Here is a 23,607-nt window from a genome sequence, read left to right as displayed (position 1 = left end):
TCTCACTCTGCACACGCACACATACGCGCTCAGACACACGTGCACACACGAGCACGCACCTGCATACACGCTCCCTGCCTGGGGCCAGCTGAGCTCTCCTGCCCTGCCTGGAACGTGCCTCTCCTTCATGGAAACAGGGAGGACCTGGGGTCACACGGCTGAGCCCACACTCCAGCTCTTGCTGCTCTGTGGCCCAGGTCTTTGCTTGGTCTTGAACGGGGTTCCCAGGTCCTGATCTGTGCTTCCCGACTTCCTCTGTGTGAGCCCAATAATCTACACTCCCCTGGAATGTGTCCGTTCGAAGGAAGATCCCACTGGCGTGTGCGTGGAGTCCTCCACCACAGGTGAGGAGCACCTGGCACCTGGGACTGGGTTCAGCCACTGTCCCGCCGCTGTCCTGTCCTGTGGCCGCTGTGGGGGCGACTCTGGCCCTCCCCATCTCCCCTGTTAGTGGCCCCCAGGGCCCTCAGCCTCCCTCTCCTCCTGCTCCCTCTCCCAGTTGCCAACTCCCAGCCTGGCCCAGAAGACCACCTGCCCCCCATGTCGGAGAAGTTGCCGCAGACCTGACCTGCCAGGGCAGGGGTTAGACTCCCCGCCCCACCCAGCCAGGGCGTCTTTTCTGCCCGCGGGTGGGTGCAAGCAGGCTCCCCCCAGCCACTCGGCTTCTGCAGGGCTGAGCTTCACTGCCCTGGACAAGAATGGACAAGAACCGGACCGAGGCCGCCCATGGACAGCCAGCCAGCCAGGCTCCGCTCGGCCTCTGACCCACCGCCTGGCTTGGGCACCACGGCTCCTCTCTGCCAGTGGCTGGGGGGCGGCCTGGGCATCCCCATGAGCACAGACTCCTCGGAATCCTGAGAGGCCCTCCCCTCCCCTTCCCTCCCCTGCCCAGTCACACCCAGTTCTTTCAGCAGGGGAGCTGGGGGACACTGACTTCAACATGGGCCTGGGTTTGGAGGAGCTTGTCCCTCTCATGCTCCTCATATGCCCAGTGAAGCCTCAGCCAGGGACAGGCACGGAGCCCTTCCCGGCCTCATGGCGCTTCCTGAAGTCGGAATGTGCGTCTTCAAGCTGTTACCGCATCCCCCTTGCCTGTGAGGAACCCCACAGTGCTGTACGGCCCCGGGCTTCAGGGCACGCCGCCCTTTGTCCGCTAACTAGTGTGGTTGTGTGGTTCTCTGAATAGCCTGCATGTCACGTTTGACCCTCAGCGTGTGCAGCTCCAGCGTGTGCAGCTCCAGCGTGTGCAGCTCGGGGACAGGGTTTGCCTCCTTCACTGCTGGGTCCTCTGGTCTCACGGTGCTGGGTTCCAGGCACGGGAACCCCCAGAAACCTCGAGGTCTGGCCTGGTCTGGCAGGCGGGGCCTCCAGGGAGCCAAGAAACGGGGCCTCCCTGCCCCGGACTGCCCAGAAATGATTAACGCGGGAGGCTCTGGAGGCTTTGTTTCTCCTGGGCTGGGATGGGGGTGCGGGTGGCCGGGGGTCACGGCCCGGGCGAGCGCCTGTCTTATCTCTCCCAGGCCTCTCTGGTTTCAGCCTCGTATTTGTTCTGACATTAGGTGGGCGTTATCTCCAATTCGTGGCTTCTCGATACAACCCCAGATGCTGCTGGGAGTTTCTCTGGGGTTCTGGGGCCCTCTGGGGCTGGTTGAGAGGGGACTCACTGCCCACGAGGGGCTTCACCCCTCCCCAGAGCCTGAGCTCCAGAGGCCTGAGAGACGCCACCGCCTGCAGGTGCCACGGGGCTCTGTTTTCTTATTTCTGCTTCTTTCTTTTAAAAAGGGTGCGGTTTCCTCCGCTAGAGCAGGGACCCATCCGTGGTGGTTCAGAGTGTTGGCTCTTGTCTGGTGGCCAAGGGCTGCCCTGCTCCGGCCTCTGGGATGCACTTGTGGACTGGGCCTGATTTGGCCATTGGAGTCTGGGTCTTCCGCTGCGCTTGGGGCCTGCATGTTGAGCTTCTGTCCTGGAGAGGTGTGGACAGAGCCACCAAAGGCCAAGGGCCCAGCAAGGGCTCTTCCTACCCAGGCTGAGGCCTGCAGCCTGGACCCCACCTCTTCCTGCTCCAGGGCCTCCTTCCTGACCCCCTGGCTCTGCTCCCCTCATCTGGCCACCCCAGAGGCCCTTCCTGTCAGCTCACTAGGCCCTCAGGAGGGTAAAAATCCAAAATGAGTGGAGACGGGGGCTCGATACCCACAGCCAGGAGCACAGTGGGTCAGAAACACGGCAGGTGTCATCAGAAGTCTGATTAGATTCTCCGTGGAGCTGGAAATGCAAATATTGATAGAAGTCGGAAGACTTAGTGATCTCTGGTCAGATATGATGTCACCTCGAACACCTGTTTCTGGACAGAGTTTCGAGAACATGTGACGTGTGTCACACGCTGGCACTGCCAAGGGAGGCTGATAGTGTAATCGCCGCAAGGTTACTGGCCGGGGCCCGAGGGATAAGGAGGGCAACATGTGGCCCGGGCAGGCTGTTTGCTGAGCTGCCAGCACCAACCGCTGGGGCCTGGCCTGCAGGACTCACCAAACCCTGCCATCCCGGTCTGGCCAGGCCTGGCCAGCAGACATGTGCCAAACAGTGAGCTGTTCTCCGGCCCCCGGAACTTATCTTGAGTCAATAGAAATGCTGGGCAGTTATAGAGGCTATTAACAGGGGCCAGGAGACAAGGGCTGCATTCAGGCCCGCAGCCTGGTTTCCAATGAGCTCAGCTGCTCCACAGCTGGGGCCAGGGACAGACTCACACCCCCACCGGCCAGGCCTGTCTTCCCCACTGGTAAACAAGGGGGCGGGAGACAGGGGACAAGGGACAGGGCGCTGAGTGCCTGGGAGCTGGACACACAGCCACATCGAGGGGCCCGAGAAAGTCCTCACGCCCCAGCAGGTGTGGCAGCAGTCAGGGTGCACGGGACCTGCCCACACAGGTGCAGGTGAACTAGGAGGTGGCGCGTGGCCATTTCCTCCTTTTGCAGGACAGACCAGGACGTGGCTGATAACACCTGCCCCGGCAAGACAGGGTTTCTAGAAAAACATGCTTGATGGTCAGAAAAAGTTTGGAGTCATTGAAGTGAGCAGGGGTAGTGGGAACCTACACACCGGATCCCAGTATCTCTGGAGTGTTGAGGGCTGCTGGGGACCCTTGCTGTCAGAAACATGCCTGGTGTGGACCCGTGAGCAGAAGGAAATGTCGTCCTTACTGCTGCATTCTGTCCTGTCTCCTCGGGCAGCTCTGGACCAGATGAAGACCACTAGGGTCAGGCGTGGATGCCGGGGGACAAGCGTGGATGCCGGGGGAGAATTTGTCCGTTGATTTGGCCACACAGGCCGGTGCTTCTCACACATTGTCAAATGCAGGAATCGCCTGAGGGTCTTGTGATTTAGGAGGTCGGGGCGGAGCCCTGTGATGCTGGAGCTGCAGGCCCAGGAACCCCACTTCGACTACCCAGGCTGGAGACGACGCTGGTGTGGGGGAATTGTCACCTCTGAAGAAACAATGTTTCCATTAAGCAGTGCTCGGTTTGCCCTGAAGAGTCCAGGGTGGTGAGAGATGACAATTTGAGGGGACGCCCCTCTGGAGTGGGGGGGTGGGAGAGCTCACGTGGAAGAGGCACCCACGCAGGCCGGAAAACATGGAGACCCTCAGGTTATACAGTTACCCAGGCCCCTCAACAGCATGGCTCCTTCCGCCCGCACACTCCTGCCCTGCAGTGTGAACCGGGGATGCATTTTAGCACAGAGCCTTCCCTAGAGCCTGCGGCTGGAAAGTCCCTGCACCGGATCGGACGGTATCCCCTCAAAATTCGTGCCCACCCAAACCCTCGAATGTGACCTTTGGAAACAGGGTCTTCGCAGATGTAATTAGCTGAGGACCTCAAGCTGGAATCCTCTTGGATGTCCAGTGGGCCGTAAATCAAATGACAAGTGTCCTTATCAGAAGAGGAGAACAGAGAGAAGCGGGCCACAGAGACATGGAGACAGAGATCCGAGTGGCATGGCCAGAAGACAAGGAGTGGCAAGGACCGCGGCCAGCACCGGAGGCGGGAGGGGCCTGGAGCCGACGCTCCCTCGTGGCCCTCAGGGGGACCCACCCTGCCGGCCTCCTCAGTTCAGACGCCCTTCTGTTGCGTTAAGCCCTGCTGTGCACGGTAATGTATTCCGATGAGATGCCCAGGAGCCTCACACAGCCTTTTCCCTGTTCCTCAGTAACCCTCGGGCAAGGTCGCTATCATATTCCTGTGCATGGCACACTCACTGCACCCTCCCGTGTGCCGCGTAGAGGGGTGCCACACAGATGGTGCCGTTCCTCCCTCAGAGGGATTTGTTGCTTTAATAGACACTAAGCCTACTGACCCACGGCCCCTTGGGTCCCCTTTCAGTCCACTTGCAGGTGCATCGGACGGCTCCCGTGCACCCTGACTGACGCCTCTCTCAGGTCCCTGTATGCCACTGCAGCTTCGCATAGGGGGCTGGAAACGTTTTCAGCCTCACTCAGGACAGCCCCAAAGTGCCAGGTGTTATTGTTTCCAGGGGCAACCTCAGGCCAGTGACAGATGCCAGTCCTGGAGATGCCCCGGGATTCCTGTCCCTCCATAGGGTGGCGTCGAGGTGTGTTTCACAACAGCTCCTCAGGGGTTGCCAGCACGGTGGAGCCCCAGCTGCCTGCAGCAGAACCTGCTCCTCTGTGGGTCTTCAACCCACACCTTCCCTGTGCTTCTGAGACCACCTCCCAAAGCACATCCTCCACCGAACCGTTGCCTTAAGTCCTGATTTTGGCAAATCCAAAGTGAGACCCGTGCTGGGATCCAATTGCTCTCCTGCTTAGGCCAGTCCTTTAGGAGAGGATGTCACAAGGTAGCCAGAGGCTGGGTCTTGGGGCTTCCTCCGAGGCCCCTGTGGGAAGATGGCAGGCCCCAAATGGTGGCCGCCTCCAGGAATTTCCCAGTGCTGTGAGGGAGGCATGTGGTCTGTTTCCTACGGAGCTTGGAGCAGCCTGGGGATGGAGGGCCGCCTCTGGGGAGGAGGGGCTGGTATGGGCTTTGGCCATCCAAGCCCCCAGTGAATGATTTCTGGGCACTGAGTGTGTGCTGGGCAAGGTGCTGGGATGCACTGGGGGTGCACCAGTGAGAGGGGAGTGGAGTATAATGGGGAAAAGGCACCTGGTTCCATCTGGGAATGTTCTGGCTGGGCAGAAGGATCTGGAGGCTAAGGCTTGAAGCTGGGAGTTTAAGACCAGCCTGTGCAACATAGCAAGACCTGGTCTCTACAAAACATTTAAAAATTAGCTGGGTGTGGCAGCGTGCACTTGTAGTCCCACCTACTTGGGAGGCTGAGGGCGGAGGATCCCTTGAGCCCACGAGGTCAAGTCCGCAGTGAACTATGATCACGCCACTGCACTCTAGCCTGGGTGACTGAGCAAGACCCTGTCGCAAAAAAAGAAAAAAAATTAAGAAAGAAAGGAGATTCTGCTGAAAGCTAAGTTTCTCTGGAAGATGGACTGACTAAGAGAGAAACTGAAGCTTGGGCTTTGGGAGGTCACAGAGGGAACAGGACTTCAGTCCAGGGTGTGTCCAGGGCCCACAGTAGCGGCAAGGATGATGGTTGCTGAGTGTTTCCTGTGTCCCCCAGGGTGCATCTCACTTTTAAACCCTCCCAACGAGCCTGGAGCCCTCTCCTGCAGTGGAGGTAACTAAGGCTGAGAGCACAGGAGGGGCTTGTCTGGGCCATGCACAGCAACCTGCCGTGCTAGAGCTGCTGGGTGCATGGCTCCCACCAGCAGCACCTGGAGGCCTCCAGCAGAGCTGCCCATCCTGCCCTTAGGACACCGGCAGCCAGGACGTGCCCTGGACGCTGCCATCCTCGTCGCACAGAGCGGGGCTCTTGGGGGTCCTGCACGGAGTCCTGCCTGCCCTAGACCTGGGAAGGTATGGAGGAGAGTGAGCGATCCAGCTCTCCCACCCCCGGCTCTGATGCTCTGGGAAATCCGCTCATCTTTGCAGCCTCAGTCTCCCCATCTGTGAAAGGGGCTAGCAGTTCTCTCAGAGCGGGTCGCTATGAGGGAGCCATCACCAACGTTGCTGTCCAGCCAGGCACCTGTGGAGGCCCACGGAACCCACCCGCTGCTGTGAAAATTGGCACAGGCAGACACCCTTGCAAGAGAGCGGGGTACCGGGTTGGGGGTCGGTGAGCCTCACAGGGTCTCCTGGCCCCACAGCTCTGTCCAGAGTGAAGGTCGTTGCCCAGACAGCCGGCAGGAGGGCTTTGGCTGGCCTGGTGTCCACTGAGCACTCCAGGCCCACGGGATTAGTCTGAGTCTGGGCTGCCCTGTCCCCGAGTCCCAGAGGGACACCCAGAGGACACAGGTGTTCAAGAGCACCCTGGCCACCGACCCGTGCCCTTGCCCCGCATCCTCTGCTGTGTGGCATGCTTCCCTCACCGCTGTTGTCAAACACGCAGCGTCAGGACAGAAACTGTCGAACTGCGGGCTGTTGGCGCCTGCCAGCTCTAGCTGCCAGCCTAGCCTAATTACTTAATTTGTACTAATTCTCATGCCATTAACACATCCTGCCTAAAATAACATTGCCTAGAAAACGAACTTGTCTATGACACTATTTTTATCAGTTTTTTAGGAAAAAAAGAGTCACACTGTCAGTGTTTCCAGATGTTTCCCATTCCTTCCCCTTTATTTGGTCTCTGTGTGGCACTAAACTTAGAGGCAGGAGTGCTGGGAGACGTTTGCAAGGATATCAGCCTCTCCACAGGTTAAACCCGAACACGCCTCTCTTCTGGTGAGGGGCCCTCAGGGTTAACAAGCATCATCCACGAGGGACCAGGGCAACAGGCTCCTCCGCTGGTCCAGGGGCCCTCGGGGTTAACAAGCGTCATCCACGAGGGACCAGGACGACAGTCTCCTCCGCTGGTCCAGGGGCCCTCGGGGTTAACAAGCTTCACCCATGAGGGACCAGGACGACAGGCTCCTCCACTGGTCCAGGGAGGCCCTGATTGGGGCGCGAAGTCCACAGACGCATCCCTAGCTACGGGGTCCCGTGTGTGCTTAGCAGTGGCCAGGGCAGCGGTCAGCTCATGGATATGTCCTCTCCTGACTTCCCCTCCGCTCCTCCGGCTTCCTCGGGTCTCCTCCCAAATAAACCACCTGCACCGAAATCCCTGCCTCAGACTCTGCTTTTTGGGAAATCTGGACTAAGGCAGCGTGTCTGTCTGTCTGTCTGTTTGCAGACACAGGTGGGCATGGGGCCGGGTGCACACACGTCTGTTTTGTTCACACACGCACAGGCAGAAGGCAGAATAACGCCCACCCACCCAAAGAGACACGATACCCACATTGGAACCTGGTGTTCCCTTATATAGCAAGAAAGGGCTCTGCGAGGGGCGGGGCTGACTTCAAGGCTTTGAAGGGAAACGACTCTGCGGCGCCTGGGGGAGCCCTTGATCCTGCTGCCCGTGGGGCCTGTGTCCACGCGTCAGCCTCTGCACCTGGGGCTGCCCGTGGGGCCTGTGTCCACGCGTCAGCCTCTGCACCTGGGACTGTTTCACAGAGGCCAGGAGGATGCCTGGAGGAGGGGCTCTGCCCGCAGGCTTCATGTCTGTGGCATTTAGGAGGAAGCCCGGCTCAGACTACCCCACATAAGAAAGGGTTTAAATGGGCTTGTGAGACTCTTAGGTTGGCTGCCATTGTGGACTTCAGGGTGAATTTGATTCAGCTCTGCTATGTGACCCAGGACCTGGCTGCCTGGGCCATCTGTGGTGTTGGCCCTGTCCTGGGACAGCTTCCCTCGTTGTGGTGGAGAGGTCCAGAGGTCCTCCATGATGGTGGAGAGGCCTGGACGTCCTCCGTGGTGGGGGAGAGGCCCGGACGTCCTCCGTGGATGGGGGAGAGGCCCGGACGTCCCCGTGGTGGTGGAGAGGCCCGGACATCCTCCATGGTGGTGGAGAGGCCCGGACGTCCCCGTGGTGGTGGAGAGGCCCGGACGTCCTCCATGGTGGGGGAGAGGCCCGGACGTCCTCCGTGGTGGGGGAGAGGCCCGGACGTCCTCCGTGGATGGGGGAGAGGCCCGGACGTCCCCGTGGTGGTGGAGAGGCCCGGACGTCCTCCGTGGATGGGGGAGAGGCCCGGACGTCCCCGTGGTGGTGGAGAGGCCCGGACGTCCTCCATGGTGGTGGAGAGGCCCGGACGTCCCCGTGGTGGTGGAGAGGCCCGGACGTCCTCCGTGGATGGGGGAGAGGCCCGGACGTCCCCGTGGTGGTGGAGAGGCCCGGACGTCCTCCATGGTGGTGGAGAGGCCCGGACGTCCCCGTGGTGGTGGAGAGGCCCGGACGTCCTCCGTGGTGGTGGAGAGGCCCGGACGTCCCCGTGGTGGGGGAGAGGCCCGGACGTCCTCCGTGGTGGGGGAGAGGCCCGGACGTCCCCGTGGTGGTGGAGAGGCCCGGACGTCCTCCGTGGTGGGGGAGAGGCCCGGACGTCCTCCGTGGTGGGGGAGAGGCCCGGACGTCCCCGTGGTGGGGGAGAGGCCCAGACGTCCTCCGTGGTGGTGGAGAGGCCTGGGTCTCCATCATCCTGGTAGAAGCCCTGGATGTCCCCCATAATGAGGGGCTTGGATGTTCCCCATCATGGGAACGATGGAAGCCTGGACATCCCCATGGTGGTGGAGAGGGCTGGATGTCCCCCATGATGGTAGAGGGGCCTGGGTGGTGGAGAACTGTCTACCACTATGGGCCTCCTTCATTGTGGTAGAGGCCCTGGATGTCCCCATGGTGGTGGAGGGGCCCGGGTGTCCCCCCGTCCATGCTGCTCAGGATTGGGGCCTGGGCAGCCAAAGCATTGCCATCTCATTTGCTGAGACTGGGCCATATGCCCATAAGTGAGGCAACCCTGGTGCCCTGTGAGTGGGACTATGGTGCTCGGCTTGGACCTGAGTCAGGTGCCCCAGTGGCCAGGTGTAGGATGCTCACCTGGGCATGCTTAGGGGCACAGAAGTGGGGCCAGGAGGGGCCCACCTTCCCTCTTGCCCTCCACACAGGCTATGTGGTCTTTTCTTCTTAGAGATTCCTGTCCTGCCGGCACCTCTGCCATAATCCCAGTATGGCCCCAGCTGGAGAGGACAAAGGTGGCCCCATCCAGGGCACCCCAGGGGAATGTGATGGCCACTGCACCGTGCCCAGTGCCTTCTGTGCACCTGTGACCCTTGGTGGGCCACGCAAACCTGCAGCCAGGGCCTGGGGACCTCTGGAGGGGATGAGGATGGAACAGCAAGAGGCAGTATCACTGCCAAGGGCGTCTCTGCCCACATCTGGAGGCAGCAAGGCCCCTGCGCTCTCTAGAGCAGGTCTGTGGTCCTCTGGTGTGCCACAAATTTCAAACCGGCCCCGACTCCTGGGGCAAGAGCAAAGAGCCACACTCCTGATTCTTGTGCCAGCTGGTTTTAACCACTGTAGTGTCCCTGTGTGTACACGAGTAAATATGGCATATGTGTGCCCTGGGGATGTGAGCTCCTGGGCAGGTGAGCATCTGTGCACAGGCACGTGTGTGTATGCATGTTTGTGTTTGTGTGAGTGAGCGTGTGTGCACGTGCATAGGCATGTGCTTTGTATGACTGTGTGTTTCTGCATGCACGTGGGTGCATGTGTGCTTGTGTGTGCACATGTGTTTGTGTGTGTGTTTCTGTGTGCTTATGTGTATGTGCATGGGTTTTGCATGTGTGTTTTTGCTTACATGTGGGTGCATGTGTGCCTATGTGTGTGCATGTTTCTGTGTGCATGTGGGTGTGTGGGTGTGTGTGTATGCGTTTGTGCCTGCATGTGTGTTTCTGTGTGCATGTGGGTGGACGTGTGCATGTGTGCACGTTTGTATGTGTTTGTGTGTGTGTTTCTGTGTGCATGTATGCACATTTGTGTATATGTGTGTGCTTGTGTGTGCATGTGTGTGCATGTATGAGCTTTTGTGTGTATGTTTGTGTGTGCACGTGGGTACATGTGTGCATGCGTGCACATTTGTGTGTGTGCATGTGGGTGCATGTGTGCTTGTGTGCACGTATGTATGTGTGTGTTTGTGTGCAGGTGGGTACATGTGTGCATATGTGCGTGTTTGTGTGTGTGTGTATGCGTCTGTGCCTGCATGTGTGTTTCTGTGTGCATGTGGGTGGACGTGTGCATGTGTGCACGTTTGTATGTGTTTGCGTGTGCGTGTGTGTTTCTTTGTGCATGTATGCACATTTGTGTATATGTGTGTGTGCTTGTGTGTGCATGTTTGTGTGTGCATGTATGAGCTTTTGTATGTGTTTGTGTGTGTATGTGGATGCACGTGTGTGTGTGCACTTTTGTGTGTGTGTCTCTGCATGCATGTGGGTGCACGTGTGCATGTGTGCACGTTTGTGTGTGCACGTGTGTTTCTGTGTGCATGTGGGTACATGTGTACATGTGTGCATGTGTGCACATTTGTGTGTGTGTTTCTGCGTGCATGTGGGTGGATGTGTGCATGTGTGCACGTTTGTGTGTGTGCGTGTTTCTGCATGCATGTAGGTGCATGTGTGCACGTTTGTGTGTGTGTGTTTCTGCATGCATGTGGGTGCATGTGTGCGCGTTTGTGTGTGTGTGTTTCTGCGTGCATGTGGGTGCATGTGTGCATGTGTGCATGTGTGCGCGTGTGTGCGTGTGTTTCTGCTTGCATGTGGGTGCATGTGTGCGCGTTTGTTTGTGCGTGTTTCTGCGTGCATGTGGATGCATGTGTGCATGTGTGTGCGTTTGTGCGTGTGTTTCTGCGTGCATGTGGGTGCATGTGTGCATGTGTGCACGTTTGTGTGTTTCTGCGTGCATGTGGGTGCATGTGTGCATGTGTGCATGTGTGCACGTTTGTGTGTGTGTTTCTGCGTGCATGTGGGTGCATGTGTGCATGTGTGCGCGTTTGTGTGTGCGTTTCTGCATGCATGTGGATGCATGTGTGCATGTGTGCGCGTTTGTTTGTGCGTGTGTTTCTGCGTGCATGTGGGTGCATGTGTGCATGTGTGCGCGTTTGTGTGTGTGTGTTTCTGCGTGCATGTGTGCATGTGTGCGCGTTTGTGTGTGTGTGTGTTTCTGCGTGCATGTGCGTGCCTGTGTCTGAACTGGCTTGGGGGGGTGGGGCGGGACAAGGACATTCCTGGACCCGGCGCTTGACAAGCTGCCAGGCCGTCCCCATTGTCATGTCAACCAAATATTTTCAGCCTCCACGCCCAGAAGCCTCCGGAGCTCGCTTCTCCTCGCCGCTCACACACCGCGGGCCAGACTTCCAAACCGCTAGGCAGATTTTGAGTCCCTTTTTTTAGCTGCTGAATGAAAAAAAATAAGCAAACACAAATCTGCTGATCCCGGGCCGCCCCCTTTTCTGGAGAATTTAATTTCCGAGCTTTGATCTGATACCAGGGCCCAGAGGACTTGTTATTTCTAAATAATGAGCTGAATGTCTGTGCTCCCAGCCTGAACTTTTCTGGTTTGGGGAAAAATATGACTTTCCATAGACGCTCTTTGATGCGGCCAGTGGCGCTGCCGGCTCCGGGATGAAAGGCCTTTCAGAGGGCAGGCGGCGCTGGGCGGGGCGGCCGGGCCGTGGTGCCCTCAGGACAATGCCCTCCGCAGGGTCCCCCCCCGCCGGCCCCTCCCTGGGCAAGGGCGGAGCTCGTTCAGCAGGAACCCCGGTGCTGGGACCTGAGCCCAGGGCCACCTGCATCGCGGCCCAACCTGTCTGGGGCCTCGTCCTCTCTCGGTGAGCGCGGGGGTCAGAGGGCGCCCGAGGCAGGGACTGTCAATCCTGGGCGGGTGGGAGGAGGGGGCTCCAGGGCCGCCTCCCCGGCGGGCCCCGCGCTCCACGGAAGGGGCTCTTCCTACCAACGTCATGCCTCAAACCAGGGCTGGGGGGCCCCGCTCCCAAGCTGGGGGACACCGGAGCAAACGGAACGGCGCAGGGCGGGCGCGGGCGGCAGCGCTGTCTGAGGTGCGGGCGGCACCTGCGCTTCCCCGGGAGGTTAGAGAAAGGCGCCCCCTGCTGGCGGCTGCGCCCTCGGGGGACCTGCAGGGCCCGAGGCCACGTGGAGACGAAGGAGCCCTCTCCTGGGGTGGGGGCACGGGACTGGGTTCAGCGCCTCCAAGCCTCTCCCCAGGCCCTCCACTGGGTGTTCTTGTTGGAGTCCGCAGCCTGCACAGTTCCAGCCCTGGCGGTCTGAGGCTAGGCGAGGGTGTGTGGACCAGGGAGACCCCGGCGCCCGGTGGGAGGGCCCAGCCCGCCCACCCCTGCCCTGGCACCTGCCGGCAGAGCCCCCAGCCCGCTCACCCCTGCCCCTGGGGCTGTCAGCATCCACGGGACGGCCACACCACACCAGGAAATGATCATTCCAGGTCAGGGCTGGGTGATTGCGGCGCCCTCTCCCCTTACCCCAGCGGTGGGCAACTTCGCACTTCGGATAGCATTTCCCCTGGGAAGAGGCCAAGCGTGCTTCGACAGGCGGCATCACAAAAGGTCAAGAGGCAAACACCCTCGGTCCGCCGCCTCGATAATTAGCTCCTCAGCCAGCCTGCAGAAAAGCCATCGGGCCTGGACAAGCTCCCAGGCACAGCACCTCACCACCCGCCCTCTGTCCTGCCCAGTGTACACACAGGAGCTCCTGGCACCCCGGAGGGCAGCCCCCAACCCTGAAACACACAGCGGCAGCGGCCTGACCTCCCCGGCACTCTCTACGTCATGTGTCTCAGATGGGGACCTGTGAGTCCCGGAACCTGACTCACGGGTTTGTGTCCACTCCTGGGCCAGGTGGGATTAAGAAATACTTTTAAAAAATAAATAGTTTCATTAACCAATAGTTCAGTCACAGGCAGGTTTGGAAATCGCAAGGAACCCAGTGGGGAAAAAGTAATGAAATCCAAATAAAGGTCTAGTTTAGTTAATGCTGGTGTGCCAGTATTGCATCCTTAATGTGACGAGTGCCCTGTCCTCGGGTAGGATGCCAGGAATGGAGGAAGCCAGGTGCAGGGTAGACCTAACTGTCTGTGCTATCTCCACAAGTTTGCTGTAAATCTAAACATAAAATCCGGTGGATCACTTGAGGTCAAGAGTTCAAGACCAGCCTGGCCAAGATGGTGAAACCCCGTCTCTACTAAAAATACAAAAAAAATTAGTTGGGCATGGTGGCAGGCACCTGTAATCCCAGCTACTCGGGAGGCTGAGGCAGGAGAATTGCTTGAACCTAGGAGGTGGAGGTTGCAGTGAGCCTAGATTGAGCCATTGCACTCCAGCCTGGGTGACAAGAGTGAAATTTCGTCTCAAAAAAAAAAAAAAATCTAAACATAAAATCTAAAATAAAAGTTTCATTAAAAACAGTTGAGAGAGGATATAATATAGGATCTTGTGGGTCACTCTAAGGTTGGATCCTGTGGGTCACTCTAAGGGTTTTGGGCTTTGCTGTCAGTGTCAGCACAATGATTTTACTTTTGCAGGTGGTGTGTCTCTCGGGACCAAGTGGATGTTGAGATACCAGCCGGACAGCTATTATACCAATGCAGAAAGAAGGAAATGGTGGCTTGGGTACTAGTGCCGGGGGACGGGGGAGAGGACATGGTTGCTTGGGCCAAAGGATGGTGCTGAAGTGGGGAGAAGGGGTCTGATTCCAGGTATGTTTTGAAGGTGAAGCCAACAAGAGTTGCTGACAGATTCAGCGTGGGGATGAGAGGAAAGGAGAGTCTGGGCTGAGCCCAGGGTCTCGCCTAACTAGCTAGAGGGATGAGGCCACGCTGACCCAGTGGGGAGTGGGGAAGGGCAGTGCAGGGAGGACAATGGGGAGTTTGTTCTGAGCATGTCCTGGCTGAGATGCCTGCTGGACTTCAAGCTCAAGAAACCTCTTGGATTTAAATCTAGAGTTGAGAGGAGAGGTTGTCCTTCAGGGGTCCATATGAAAGCTTCAGGTGCTTCCGAGGGATCCTCTGGCATGACAGGTCTGAGCCCGTCTTTCCCTCTCCGGCACTGCAGGGCTCCCGCAGTTCTGCTTAGATTCCTAGCAGCCTCTGCTCAGCCCCTCTGCGCTCACCCTGTGCTGCTTGCAAACAGACACCCTGGACTGTTGGGATCCTTTCCTCTCCCCGGGATCTTGTCTCTCCAAGCCCTGGCTGTGTGAGCAGTCCTGCACTCTGATTCTCGTCTTCCTGCTGGCACGACAGTGTTGAAAGCTCCTCTGAGCTTCTCGGATTCTCAGCAGACCTCCCTGCTCAGCTTCTCAGCATCTCTGCTCATGCCAGTTATGAGTTTGCGGTTGCCCCAAAGGGTGCAGAAGTTCGGGTCACCTCAACGCGTTTCCCTCCCCCACAATGTCTTGGGCCTTCAGGTCCTGGCTGCCTTGGTAACTCTCTGACACATTGAGACACATGTGGTCATTTGTTTTCTCCAACCTGGTTGATGGAAGCCAAAAGTGGACTCCTTTTTATTTTTTTGTTTTTTGACAGGGTCTTTCTCTTTTGCCCAGGCTGGAGTGCAGTGATGCGGTCACAGCTCACTGCAGCCTCAACGTCCTGGGCTGAAGCCATCCTGCCGCCTCAGCCTCTTGAGTATCTGGGAGCACAGGTGTACACCACCATGCCCGGTTAATTTATTTTTGTAGAGACGGTGTCTCGTCATGTTGCCCAGCGTTCCGCCTAGGCCTCCCGAAGTGCTGGGATTGCAGGTGTGAGCCACTGTGCCCAGCCTCCTCGTTTTTCTTACAGTTGTGTTTCACTTTATGGATCTATTATGATTTATATAACAACCTCTTATCAACGGGCTTTTAGGCCATTGTAAATAATGCTGCAGTGAGTAATTTCACACATAGACGGCCTCACCTGTGCGCAATGGTATCTATAGGATAAGCAGAATTGCCGGGCCAAAGGGCAGATGCATTTACATTTTTATTGATGTTGCCAACTTCGTGGCCATAAACGTTGTGCTAACTTGTCCTTTCATCAGCTATGTACGAGAGCGCCTGCTTCCCCACAAGTCTGTCAACATTGAGGGTTGCCTGGCATTTTGCTTTTTGCCAGTCTGACCCGTCATAAAATGGAACCTCCATTTAGTTTCAATTTGTGTTTCCTTGTTACCAGTGTGGTTGGGTGTCTTTCTATGTGTTAAAATGCCAGTTGCCGGCCGGCGCTGTGGCTCACGCCTGTAATCCCAGCACTTTGGGAGGCCAAGACGGGTGGATCACGAGGTTGGGAGATTGAGACCATCCTGGCTAACACGGTGAAACTCCGTCTCTACTAAAAATACAAAATATTAGCCGGGCGTGGTGGCGGGAACATGTAGTCCCAGCTACTCGGGAGGCTGAGGCAGGAGAATGGTGTGAACCCGGGAGGTGGAGCTTGCAGTGAGCCGAGATTGGTCCACTGCCCCCCAGTCTGGGCGACAGAGCGAGACTCTGTCAAAAAAAAAAAAAAAGCCAGTTGCCCATTTAAGTTCTTTACTCATGTTTTGATGAGTTTGCTGGTCTTTATCTCATTGTTTTCAGGAGGGTTTTTTTAAATGTATTTGGGAAAGTAGCATCTTGTCTACCGTATGAGTTGCTAATACCTCTTCCTCAGTTGGTTGGCTATCTGTTAACTTTGGCTTGCAGTATTTTAATATTTTTAAATGTATGTCTTGCATATTTCTTTTCTTTCTTTCTTTTTTTTTAGATGGAGTCTCACTCTGTCTCCAAGGCTGGAGTGCAGTGGCACAACCTCGGCTCACTGCAACCTCCACCTCCCTCATTCAAGTGATTCTCCTGCCTCAGTCTCCCCAGTAGCTGGGATTACAGGCGCATGCCACCACGCCCGGATGATTTTTGTATTTTTAGTAGAGATGGGGTTTCACCATGTTGGCCAGGTTGGTCTTGAACTCCTGACCTCAGGTGATCCGCCTGCCTCGACCTCACAAAGTGCTGGGACTACAGGTGTGAGCCACCACGCCCGACCGATGTCCTGCATATTTCTTATTAGGCTTATTCCTAGAAGTTTGTTGTTTTTGCTACTGCTAAAATATGCTATTTAATGTCATTAACTTTGCTAACTGAGGCCAGAGCTACGGGAAACTAAACGAAGTTAACCAACCAACCGAGCAAATAGCAAGTGCTTACTGAGCCTCTATATCGTCCTCACAATATTGTCGGAATGAAGCTGCCATGTTGGGTGTTGCAGGGACAAGAGAGTAGAAGATTCAATCAATCCTCGCTTTTAAGTTGTTCAAAATTGATTGAAAAAGACATAGAGAGACACAAAGACACAGCCTGGGTGGGGACAGGTGGGCGGCCCCAGGTGAGGGGCAGGCACCGAGGTCATCACGGGCGCTGGCGTTCAGGCCTTCCGGGTGGCAGCAGGGTGGGTTGAAAGGGGACTGTGGCCGACAGGAACATGGGCAGAGGACTGGCCAAGCAATTTCTAAGAGAAAAAAGGAACACCCACGATGAACACAGGAAAAACATACCCTCCTCTCCAGTACTTAAAAAAAAATGACATTTTACTGGCCCAACGAAGTGGCAAAGATTTCCTTCAAGGGTAAAACCTTGGGTAGGAGAGTCTTCAACAGAAACAGAGGCGGAGGGGAATGGCCACCATCCCTCTACGCACCTGTCCGGGCAGCGGGGCAGTGGGCCATGATCCTGAGCGTGTCCTGCGTACCAGGCACCCCGGGCAAGCAACAGAGAACCAGGCAGGTGTGGGAAACCATGTTCTGGCTGGGGAAGCAGACAATACCCAAGTCAGCAAGTGAATATGGGAGCGTGAATTGTGACCAGCATCACCCCACAAGAGGGAATGAACGGGACATTGAGGGAGGGAGTTGTGGGGGACCATGGGGCCGGCGTTTCCCTCACAGAGGGTGATATGAAGGGGAGGTGGCATCTGAGCAGAGAGGTGAAGAATGCAAAGGGGCCGGCCGCGTGGAGACAGCGGGGAGGAGAGGTCCAGGCAGAGAGATTAGAATGAGCCAAGGCTCTGCCTGGGAGCCGTGGCGGGCAGGCGGGCATCTCTCTCTCTCCCCATGGTCTCAGGGCTTCTCCACGTGCGATAGTTTCACAGCACGGTGGCCTCGGAGCATCCAGACGGCTAACTGGACAGCTCGGGGTTGCACGTGCCTGTTCCCAGAGACCAGGCTGACACCGACGCCTCCCGTGACTTCAGACCCCACAAGTCACGCAGATGGTTTCTGCCGTTGCCACAAGCCCACCCTGGAGGCCAGGGCAGGGGCCTGGACCCCACCTTCCTATCAGTCTCTCATAAGAAGAGCCCCTGGCTGGGCTGGGAGATGTCGCTGTGGCCACCATGGGGCAGCCAGTGGGCAGAGTGAAGAGCCAGGCATAGAGGCCGGCAGAGACCCGACAGTGCAGGTGCCTGGCGGGCCGGGATGGGCCAGGTGGACGGGAAGGACAGTGGCTATGAGATTCAAAGCGCCTGCTGAAAGGACTCATCCTGGCTGCCTGTGCGCCAGAGCTGCATGCAAAGGGCAAGGTGGGTGCGGGGAGACTGGGCAGGACCCTGTCTCACAGCTCCTGCTCGGCCCCCTGGCTGAGGTGAGGAGGGCCACACCTGAGGTCCTCCCCTAACAGGGACCACATGTTTCCTCATGCTCTTGGCCAAAATGAGATGACCATCTTGGTGGTGTGTGCGCTGCAAAGTGAGCCTGCCAGGCCAATGGGAATAGATTCAGCAGAATAACACCCAAACGTAATTCAAGCAAAGACAAACATCTCATGTCAGGCTCACGGCATTCAGAGAAACATGGGAGAATTCCTGCCTCCGTGCATGGGCCAATCAGATAGGGCCACTCCTGAGTTGCTCTGTGTTGGGAAATGACCTAATAGCCTTACAGCTTGTTACTGATTAATTTTGTTTGATGTGGGAGGCTGCATGGATTTTTAATAAGGGCTACTTGTAATTGCAAGCCGACTGAAGCTTCCAGAATCATGAAGTGCATTTCAGGGAATTTTGCAAAACACAGGACACAAGGCCTGTGTGCCCAGCACTCCCAGCTGGTAATTACATTCGAGCTGCTGTGTAGAGAGAACCTAGGGGCTCTCGTTAACTAATGACAGGAATTAGGGAGCTATTAGTGCCTGCTGGTGGGACCCGGCTCTTCCCTCATAAATCTCCAGCCCGTTGATATCCTGGCCTCCCAGTGAGTTGGGGTTTTAGTCTGTATATTAGAAAGTGCTGAGAGAGGGGAAACCAAATACAGAGAAAACTTCTAAGTCCCCCAGGCCAAGGGACATGCATGGGCCCCTGACATCTGTGCCAATCTGCTCTGCCCCCTTAAAAGAAGCCGTGACGACAGCCAGGGCGGCCACGCCGGGTACTGGGTCCTGGGTCTGAACATGACAGCTGCCCACTGGTGTATCCACAGCTTCACACGGGGACCAGCGCCCATCTCTGTCTCAACCGCCCCAGGAACAAGCCTTGTTTCTGAGCAGTGGCCACCTCTGTGGGTCTCTGGAAACTTGGCCATAAGTGCCAGCTAGCTGGTGGGAAGGACAGGGAGTGAGTGGGCTGGACACACAGACAGCAGGCCACGCAGTGCCTGGGGTATCCAGGAAAACAGCACAAGGACAGAAACCAGCTACAGGTGCAGATGAGGGGAAGAAATGAGTTAGGAAGCAATGGGCTGCATGGAACAGAAAAGACAAATCAACTGCCTTCACTGAGAGGGAACGGACTGATGCCGGGAGGTCTGGAGGCAGGTGGCGTTCAGGCTTGGCTTGACCCAGCGGCTCAACGAGGCTGTCACGGCCTCAATTTCTTTCCATCTCTGCCCTCTGCATAGTTGGCCTTATTCCAAAGCCAGCTCTTCCTCATGGGCACAAAATAGCTGCTGCAGTGCCAGGCTTCACATCGCATATCCCACCCTGCCCAGGAGAGAGGATGTGTCTGTCCCTGCAGTCTGCATGAGGAGCACCCTGATTGGATGCCTGGGCTATGTGAGAACACGGCCAGGGGAGAGGACTGTGTGAGCACACGGCCAGGGGAGAGGACTGTGTGACGAATGTGAGGGAATCACGGCTCCTTTGGAAGAGGGGTTGTGGGCAGCTTGGCCCAAGCACACAGAGACGGATGGGTGGGGGACGGACGCTTGAACAGTGGAGCCAGAGCTGGAACTCAGGGCCGGATGGAAGGGAGCTTGCCCCTGCACAAGGCATTCAGGTTTTATTTTTAAGATGATCAGGAGCTAGGAATGCTTTCGGCTGGAGGGAGGGAGGTCTATGCAGCTGGAGAGGGGGGAGGTGGGGTGTGGGGGCTGGGGCCAGGAGGTGTGTGGGGCAGAGACAGTGGGTGAAGGGAGAGGGGCTGGGTGGGGCACTGGAAGCCGTCTGCTCTACCCCACACTGTGGACTCACGCCGTCCTCACAACCACTCGGCAGCAACGTCTCCCTCCATCGTGGAAGGAGAAGGGTGGGCAGGTGGCTGCCAATGCCACTCCCATTTTCAAATGTGGAGACTGAGACACAGAACCACAGGTTTCAAGATGACACAGCCAGTAAAGGATTTGAACCTGGGCCTGTGGAACCCACTCCCACATGACACCCTTGAGGGACAGGGAGGTGGCGGGTGGCAGCTTCTGGGCAGACCAGAGGCTCATACTCGGAGAGGAGATGGGTGAAGACCCAGACACCTGCGGAGACGGTCATGGGGCTGACTGGCGGGACGGGGGAGGTAAGGACCGACTTGGCTTGCGACCTTTAGTGTTTGGGACAATGGTGGGTAAGTAGGCAGTTTTGCCTGTGTCGGGAAAATTTTAAGACTTTGAAATGGGCAAAAAGGATTGTGTGTCCCGTCTCCCGCACCCTTCCGGGGTCTTGCGGCCTTTCACGCTCTTTTGCAGAAACCTGACAATAATACAATAATACAAATGATGCGTGTCCGTAAAAATGCAAGTTAACCTTGTCTGGTGGAATGCCGTCGATCATTACATCATCTGTAAATCCACTTCGGTGCTCCTTGTTTTTTTTTTTTTTTTTTTTTTTTGAGACAGAATCTCGCTCTGTCTCCCAGGCTGGAGTGCAGTGGCGCGATCTCGGCTCACTGCAACCTCCGCCTCCTGAGTTCAAGCAATTCTCCTGCCTCAGCCTCCAAGTAGCTGGGACTGCAGGTGCCCATCACCACACCCGGCTAATTTTTGTAATTTTAGTAGAGATGGGGTTTCGCCATGTTGGCCAGGCTGGTCTTGAACTCCTGACCTCAAGTGATCCACCCTCCTTGGCCTCCCAAAGTGTCGGGATTACAGGCGTGAGCCACCGTGCCCGGCCCATTCCTTATTTTCTATATAATGTGCTTTGAATTCTCCTGTGAGCCAGTTCTAACGTCTTATTGGTTTCCTTGCTAATTAAGGCGTTCAATAAAATCCTCGCTGCATTTCATATTTGTAGGATAGTCATGCTTTTACCTTAAAATTCAACACTCTATTAATATGACTCTTGACCATCAGAGGTGGGTTTGGGGCTCAGGAGAGGGCAGAGCTGGGGGAGGCTGGGGTGGGAGGTCCAGGGAAAGATGGGAGGAGATGCTGCCTGGGGACGTAGAGGGAAGGGTTTGCAAGTACGACCTCCCGGCCTGTCTACAAGTCCCTCCTCGTAGCACTGCCCCCACGCTGGCCTCCCCCAATGCACATGAGGCTGGAATGGTCACTGCTAGAGTGGCCATGGGGGCCAACCCCGCACCCCACCCTGTGGCGTTGGTGTCCTGCCCACACCAGCACTGACATCCCTCCAGACTTCCAGCAAATTCTCTCCTATGACCCTGTTAGTGGGGACCATGGGTTTTGTGTGGTTTCTCAAACATCTCTGTGGGCGTACCTGTAAAATCAGAGGACGCCAAATGTGTGGCCCCACTGTGATCTGGGGGCACAACCCCACACAGCACCCACCAGGTTCAAAATTGCTTCAACATTTCTGTTTTTTAAACAGGATTTCATGGAAACTTTGCATTCAACTCCAGAGGACATCTGTGTTTGCTTTAGTACAAAACAATGTGTTAAATGGTTTTCCACTGTCAACGGACAGAATGACAACACATGTAGTTTAAAGATCTTAATGGACTCTATTTCGATTCTAGAATCGGGCAATGTGTCCCTCTGTAAAACAGAACTAGTGCTTCCTCGAGCTGAGCAGAGGGGGCGGCTTTACAGATGGAAAGGGCTTCCTAGAAGAAAGCAGAGGCAAAGAACACAGGCGGAGGGGTCGTTTCAAAGTTACTGTCCCTGCAGGGCGGGGACAGGGAGCAGAAAAATACAAAAACAACCAATCGATTGTCTCACATCGGGTGACTTCAGGCTAAGGATTAAAGCAGAGGGAACTTCATTCCACACTGATTGAAGACTGGAACCGGCCTGTTTGGGAAATTGGCCATTCTCTCTCTCTCTCCTTTTCTTTCTTTCTTTTTTGTTTTTTAAAATAATTTATTATTTTTATAGAGACAGGGTTCCACTGTGTTGCCCAGGCTGGTCTCAGACTCCTGAGCTCAAGCCATCCTCCTGCCTCAGGCTCCCAAAGTGCTGGGATGACAGGTGTGAGCCGCCGTGTCTGGCCAATCGCCCTCTCTTGATTTTTTGGAAGGTCAGATGACAACTTCGGTTGGGTTTGGTGACAGACAGCCTGACCATGGGTGACTGCATTTGATTTTTACCCAGAGCAGGCGCTTAGTTCAAAACCATGGTCTTCCATAATTTTTATGTAACTAGCACAGCGGAGGAAGAAGACACTAGGGGGGCGCCTTCCCACCTGCCTGGATTTCCCGACTCCGAGCCTCCCTCAAGGGGAGTGGATGGCACCTCAGTTTGAGAGGCCGGACTTCCTGGGTCCCTCTCCTGGCAGCTGCTCAGGGTCCCTGAGCCCCCTGTCCCCTGCCCTCTGTCCTCAGCAAGGGCCCTGGGTGGGGTCTTTTCCAGGGGGCAACTGCTTAGGGTCCCTGGGGCCCTTCCTTGCCCCTCTGTCCTCAGCAAACCTCTGGCCTGGGTCTGTCTCCTGCTCAACATCCCTGGGCCCCCTCCCCGCCTTGCCCTCCTGGCCCCAGCAAGGCCCCAGGCCTGGGGTCTGGGCAAGACCCCTCCTAGGTCAGGACAGGAGTGAATCCAGAGACCACTCGGCTTCAATTTGGTGCAGAGGCCCTAAAGGGCATTTGAGAAAAGATGGGGTAGGGAGGGGCCTGAGGGCAGCCGGACTGGACGCCAGGGGCTGAGCAGGTCACTGTCTCGCTGAGCACCAGGACAGCTGCTCTGCAAGCGTTCCCCGCGTTTCAGCCCCTCTTACAGGGTGGCTGTGGGAGTGACTGCGCGAGAAGATGGGTGTCAGGGGCTTACAGAGCCAGCCTTCTTGGTGGAGCCCTCCCACTGCCACCCCAACCCCGCTCCGTCCAGGGCGCTGCTCTCTTTCGGGGCGTCGGGCTGCAGGCCTGGACCCCAGACCTGGGTCTGCGGGGCGGCGGGGGCGGGGCCTGGGCCTCGGGGGGCGTGGCCGGGGGTTGGGGCGGGGCCCGGATCACCGCCCTCTGCGCCTGGCCCAGCCCGCGGCCCGGCCCATCCCTGGCGCTCTGCTGCCACCTGGTGGCGTGGCGCGGCCGTGCAGCCTCGGCCTCACCTGCGGGACAGCAGGTGCACCGAGCTCCTGGAAGGCGGCTGCTGGGCGGGCGCGGACGTCCGGCTTTAGGGGACAGATCTGGAAAGGGTGGGATGACGGGAAAGCTGCCCACTCCTCAGCGTCCGGTCAGGCCTCGGCTTCCGTGGCCAGACAGGGAGAGGGGCTTATGACAAGCACATCGCCACCTGGGCTAGGGAGTCCCGCGCTGCACCTCGAGAGCTAGGAGGGGCTGCGCATGAGGGGCCCGCACCCCTCGTTTTCCAGCTGGGAAACTGAGGCTAGAAAGGCCTTGGCGGCGCTTCCCAAGGGCAGTCCTCCCGTGCGCTGACCACTCGCCGCCTGGTCTGTGGATGGAGCCTGTGGGGCAAACAAGGAAACAGGCACACAAAACTGTCATGCAATGAACGCAGCCTAACATCAGAAAGCATGGCATAGCTACTTCCCACAGCGGGAAGTGCAGTGGAAAACACAGCAAAGCCGGAAGGCCACAGCCTGGGCTTGTCCCATGGGCGCTGCTGTGGCTGGGTGGGCTGGGTGTGGAGTGATGCATGAAGCCGGTTGCTGCCGAGGCCTGGGGCAGGTGGAGGAGGGCGATCCCAGAGCTCTGTGGGCCATAAAGACGTGGACTTTATTCTAGGTACCTGGCAGGGTTTCCTAAAGGGGGCTGCGGGGAAAAGGAGTGTGACATGATGTGGTTTCAGAAGTCCCACCCTCCCTGCAGGCCTGGCTGGAGTGGGTAGGGACATGCTGGCTTCAGGTGAGTGTCCTGGGCAAAGGGGCTTAGGGCCAGGCTGTTAGGACTTCAGCACAGAGGCTGAAGGATTTGCTTTGGGGAGAGATCCAGGGAGGTTATGGCCCACTGCCAGGTGTCAAGCCAAGTCACCCACAGGTGTGATGGGAACAGGGCCAAGTGACGTTTTTAAATGGCCCTATTTTCGATCCCGGGGTTACATTGTTTGCATGATCTCATTAATTCAGCACAATAGTCCTGGGTGTTTCTCTCCTTATC

General features: G+C 57.1%; 1 long non-coding RNA gene across 2 annotated transcripts, besides 7 other annotated features; it reads left to right on the top strand.

Annotated features, from left to right (window-relative positions):
- Nucleotides 618-1,247: an enhancer, noted in NCBI's record as "H3K4me1 hESC enhancer chr7:383559-384188 (GRCh37/hg19 assembly coordinates)". NCBI's record gives its function as "activates a minimal SCP1, AML or CMV promoter by ChIP-STARR-seq in naive H9 embryonic stem cells {active_cell/tissue: H9 hESC(naive)}" and the evidence as "EXISTENCE:reporter gene assay evidence [ECO:0000049][PMID:30033119]".
- Nucleotides 7,030-7,839: an enhancer, noted in NCBI's record as "H3K4me1 hESC enhancer chr7:376967-377776 (GRCh37/hg19 assembly coordinates)". NCBI's record gives its function as "activates a minimal SCP1, AML or CMV promoter by ChIP-STARR-seq in naive H9 embryonic stem cells {active_cell/tissue: H9 hESC(naive)}" and the evidence as "EXISTENCE:reporter gene assay evidence [ECO:0000049][PMID:30033119]".
- Nucleotides 7,840-8,651: an enhancer, noted in NCBI's record as "H3K4me1 hESC enhancer chr7:376155-376966 (GRCh37/hg19 assembly coordinates)". NCBI's record gives its function as "activates a minimal SCP1, AML or CMV promoter by ChIP-STARR-seq in naive H9 embryonic stem cells {active_cell/tissue: H9 hESC(naive)}" and the evidence as "EXISTENCE:reporter gene assay evidence [ECO:0000049][PMID:30033119]".
- Nucleotides 10,334-10,993: an enhancer, noted in NCBI's record as "H3K4me1 hESC enhancer chr7:373813-374472 (GRCh37/hg19 assembly coordinates)". NCBI's record gives its function as "activates a minimal SCP1, AML or CMV promoter by ChIP-STARR-seq in naive H9 embryonic stem cells {active_cell/tissue: H9 hESC(naive)}" and the evidence as "EXISTENCE:reporter gene assay evidence [ECO:0000049][PMID:30033119]".
- Nucleotides 10,994-11,655: an enhancer, noted in NCBI's record as "H3K27ac-H3K4me1 hESC enhancer chr7:373151-373812 (GRCh37/hg19 assembly coordinates)". NCBI's record gives its function as "activates a minimal SCP1, AML or CMV promoter by ChIP-STARR-seq in naive H9 embryonic stem cells {active_cell/tissue: H9 hESC(naive)}" and the evidence as "EXISTENCE:reporter gene assay evidence [ECO:0000049][PMID:30033119]".
- Nucleotides 11,575-15,213, top strand: LOC105375118 (uncharacterized). 2 transcript variants are annotated; one of them, XR_926965.4, is made up of 3 exons: nt 11,575-11,752; nt 12,631-12,793; nt 13,477-15,213. It is a non-coding gene; the product is annotated as an uncharacterized LOC105375118 (long non-coding RNA). The 2 variants fall into 2 exon arrangements; XR_926966.3 differs by having other exon boundaries at nt 11,651-11,752; nt 12,631-12,770.
- Nucleotides 11,915-12,104: a silencer, noted in NCBI's record as "silent region_17804". NCBI's record gives its function as "represses an Ori minimal core promoter by ATAC-STARR-seq in GM12878 lymphoblastoid cells {active_cell/tissue: GM12878}" and the evidence as "EXISTENCE:reporter gene assay evidence [ECO:0000049][PMID:35858748]".
- Nucleotides 22,407-22,656: a silencer, noted in NCBI's record as "silent region_17803". NCBI's record gives its function as "represses an Ori minimal core promoter by ATAC-STARR-seq in GM12878 lymphoblastoid cells {active_cell/tissue: GM12878}" and the evidence as "EXISTENCE:reporter gene assay evidence [ECO:0000049][PMID:35858748]".

Source organism: Homo sapiens, chromosome 7 (assembly GCF_000001405.40).
Source record: "Homo sapiens chromosome 7, GRCh38.p14 Primary Assembly".
NCBI lineage: Eukaryota > Metazoa > Chordata > Mammalia > Primates > Hominidae > Homo > Homo sapiens.
The sequence above is the reverse complement of the archived record's forward strand: the minus strand, read 5'-3'. Positions and strand labels throughout refer to the sequence as shown.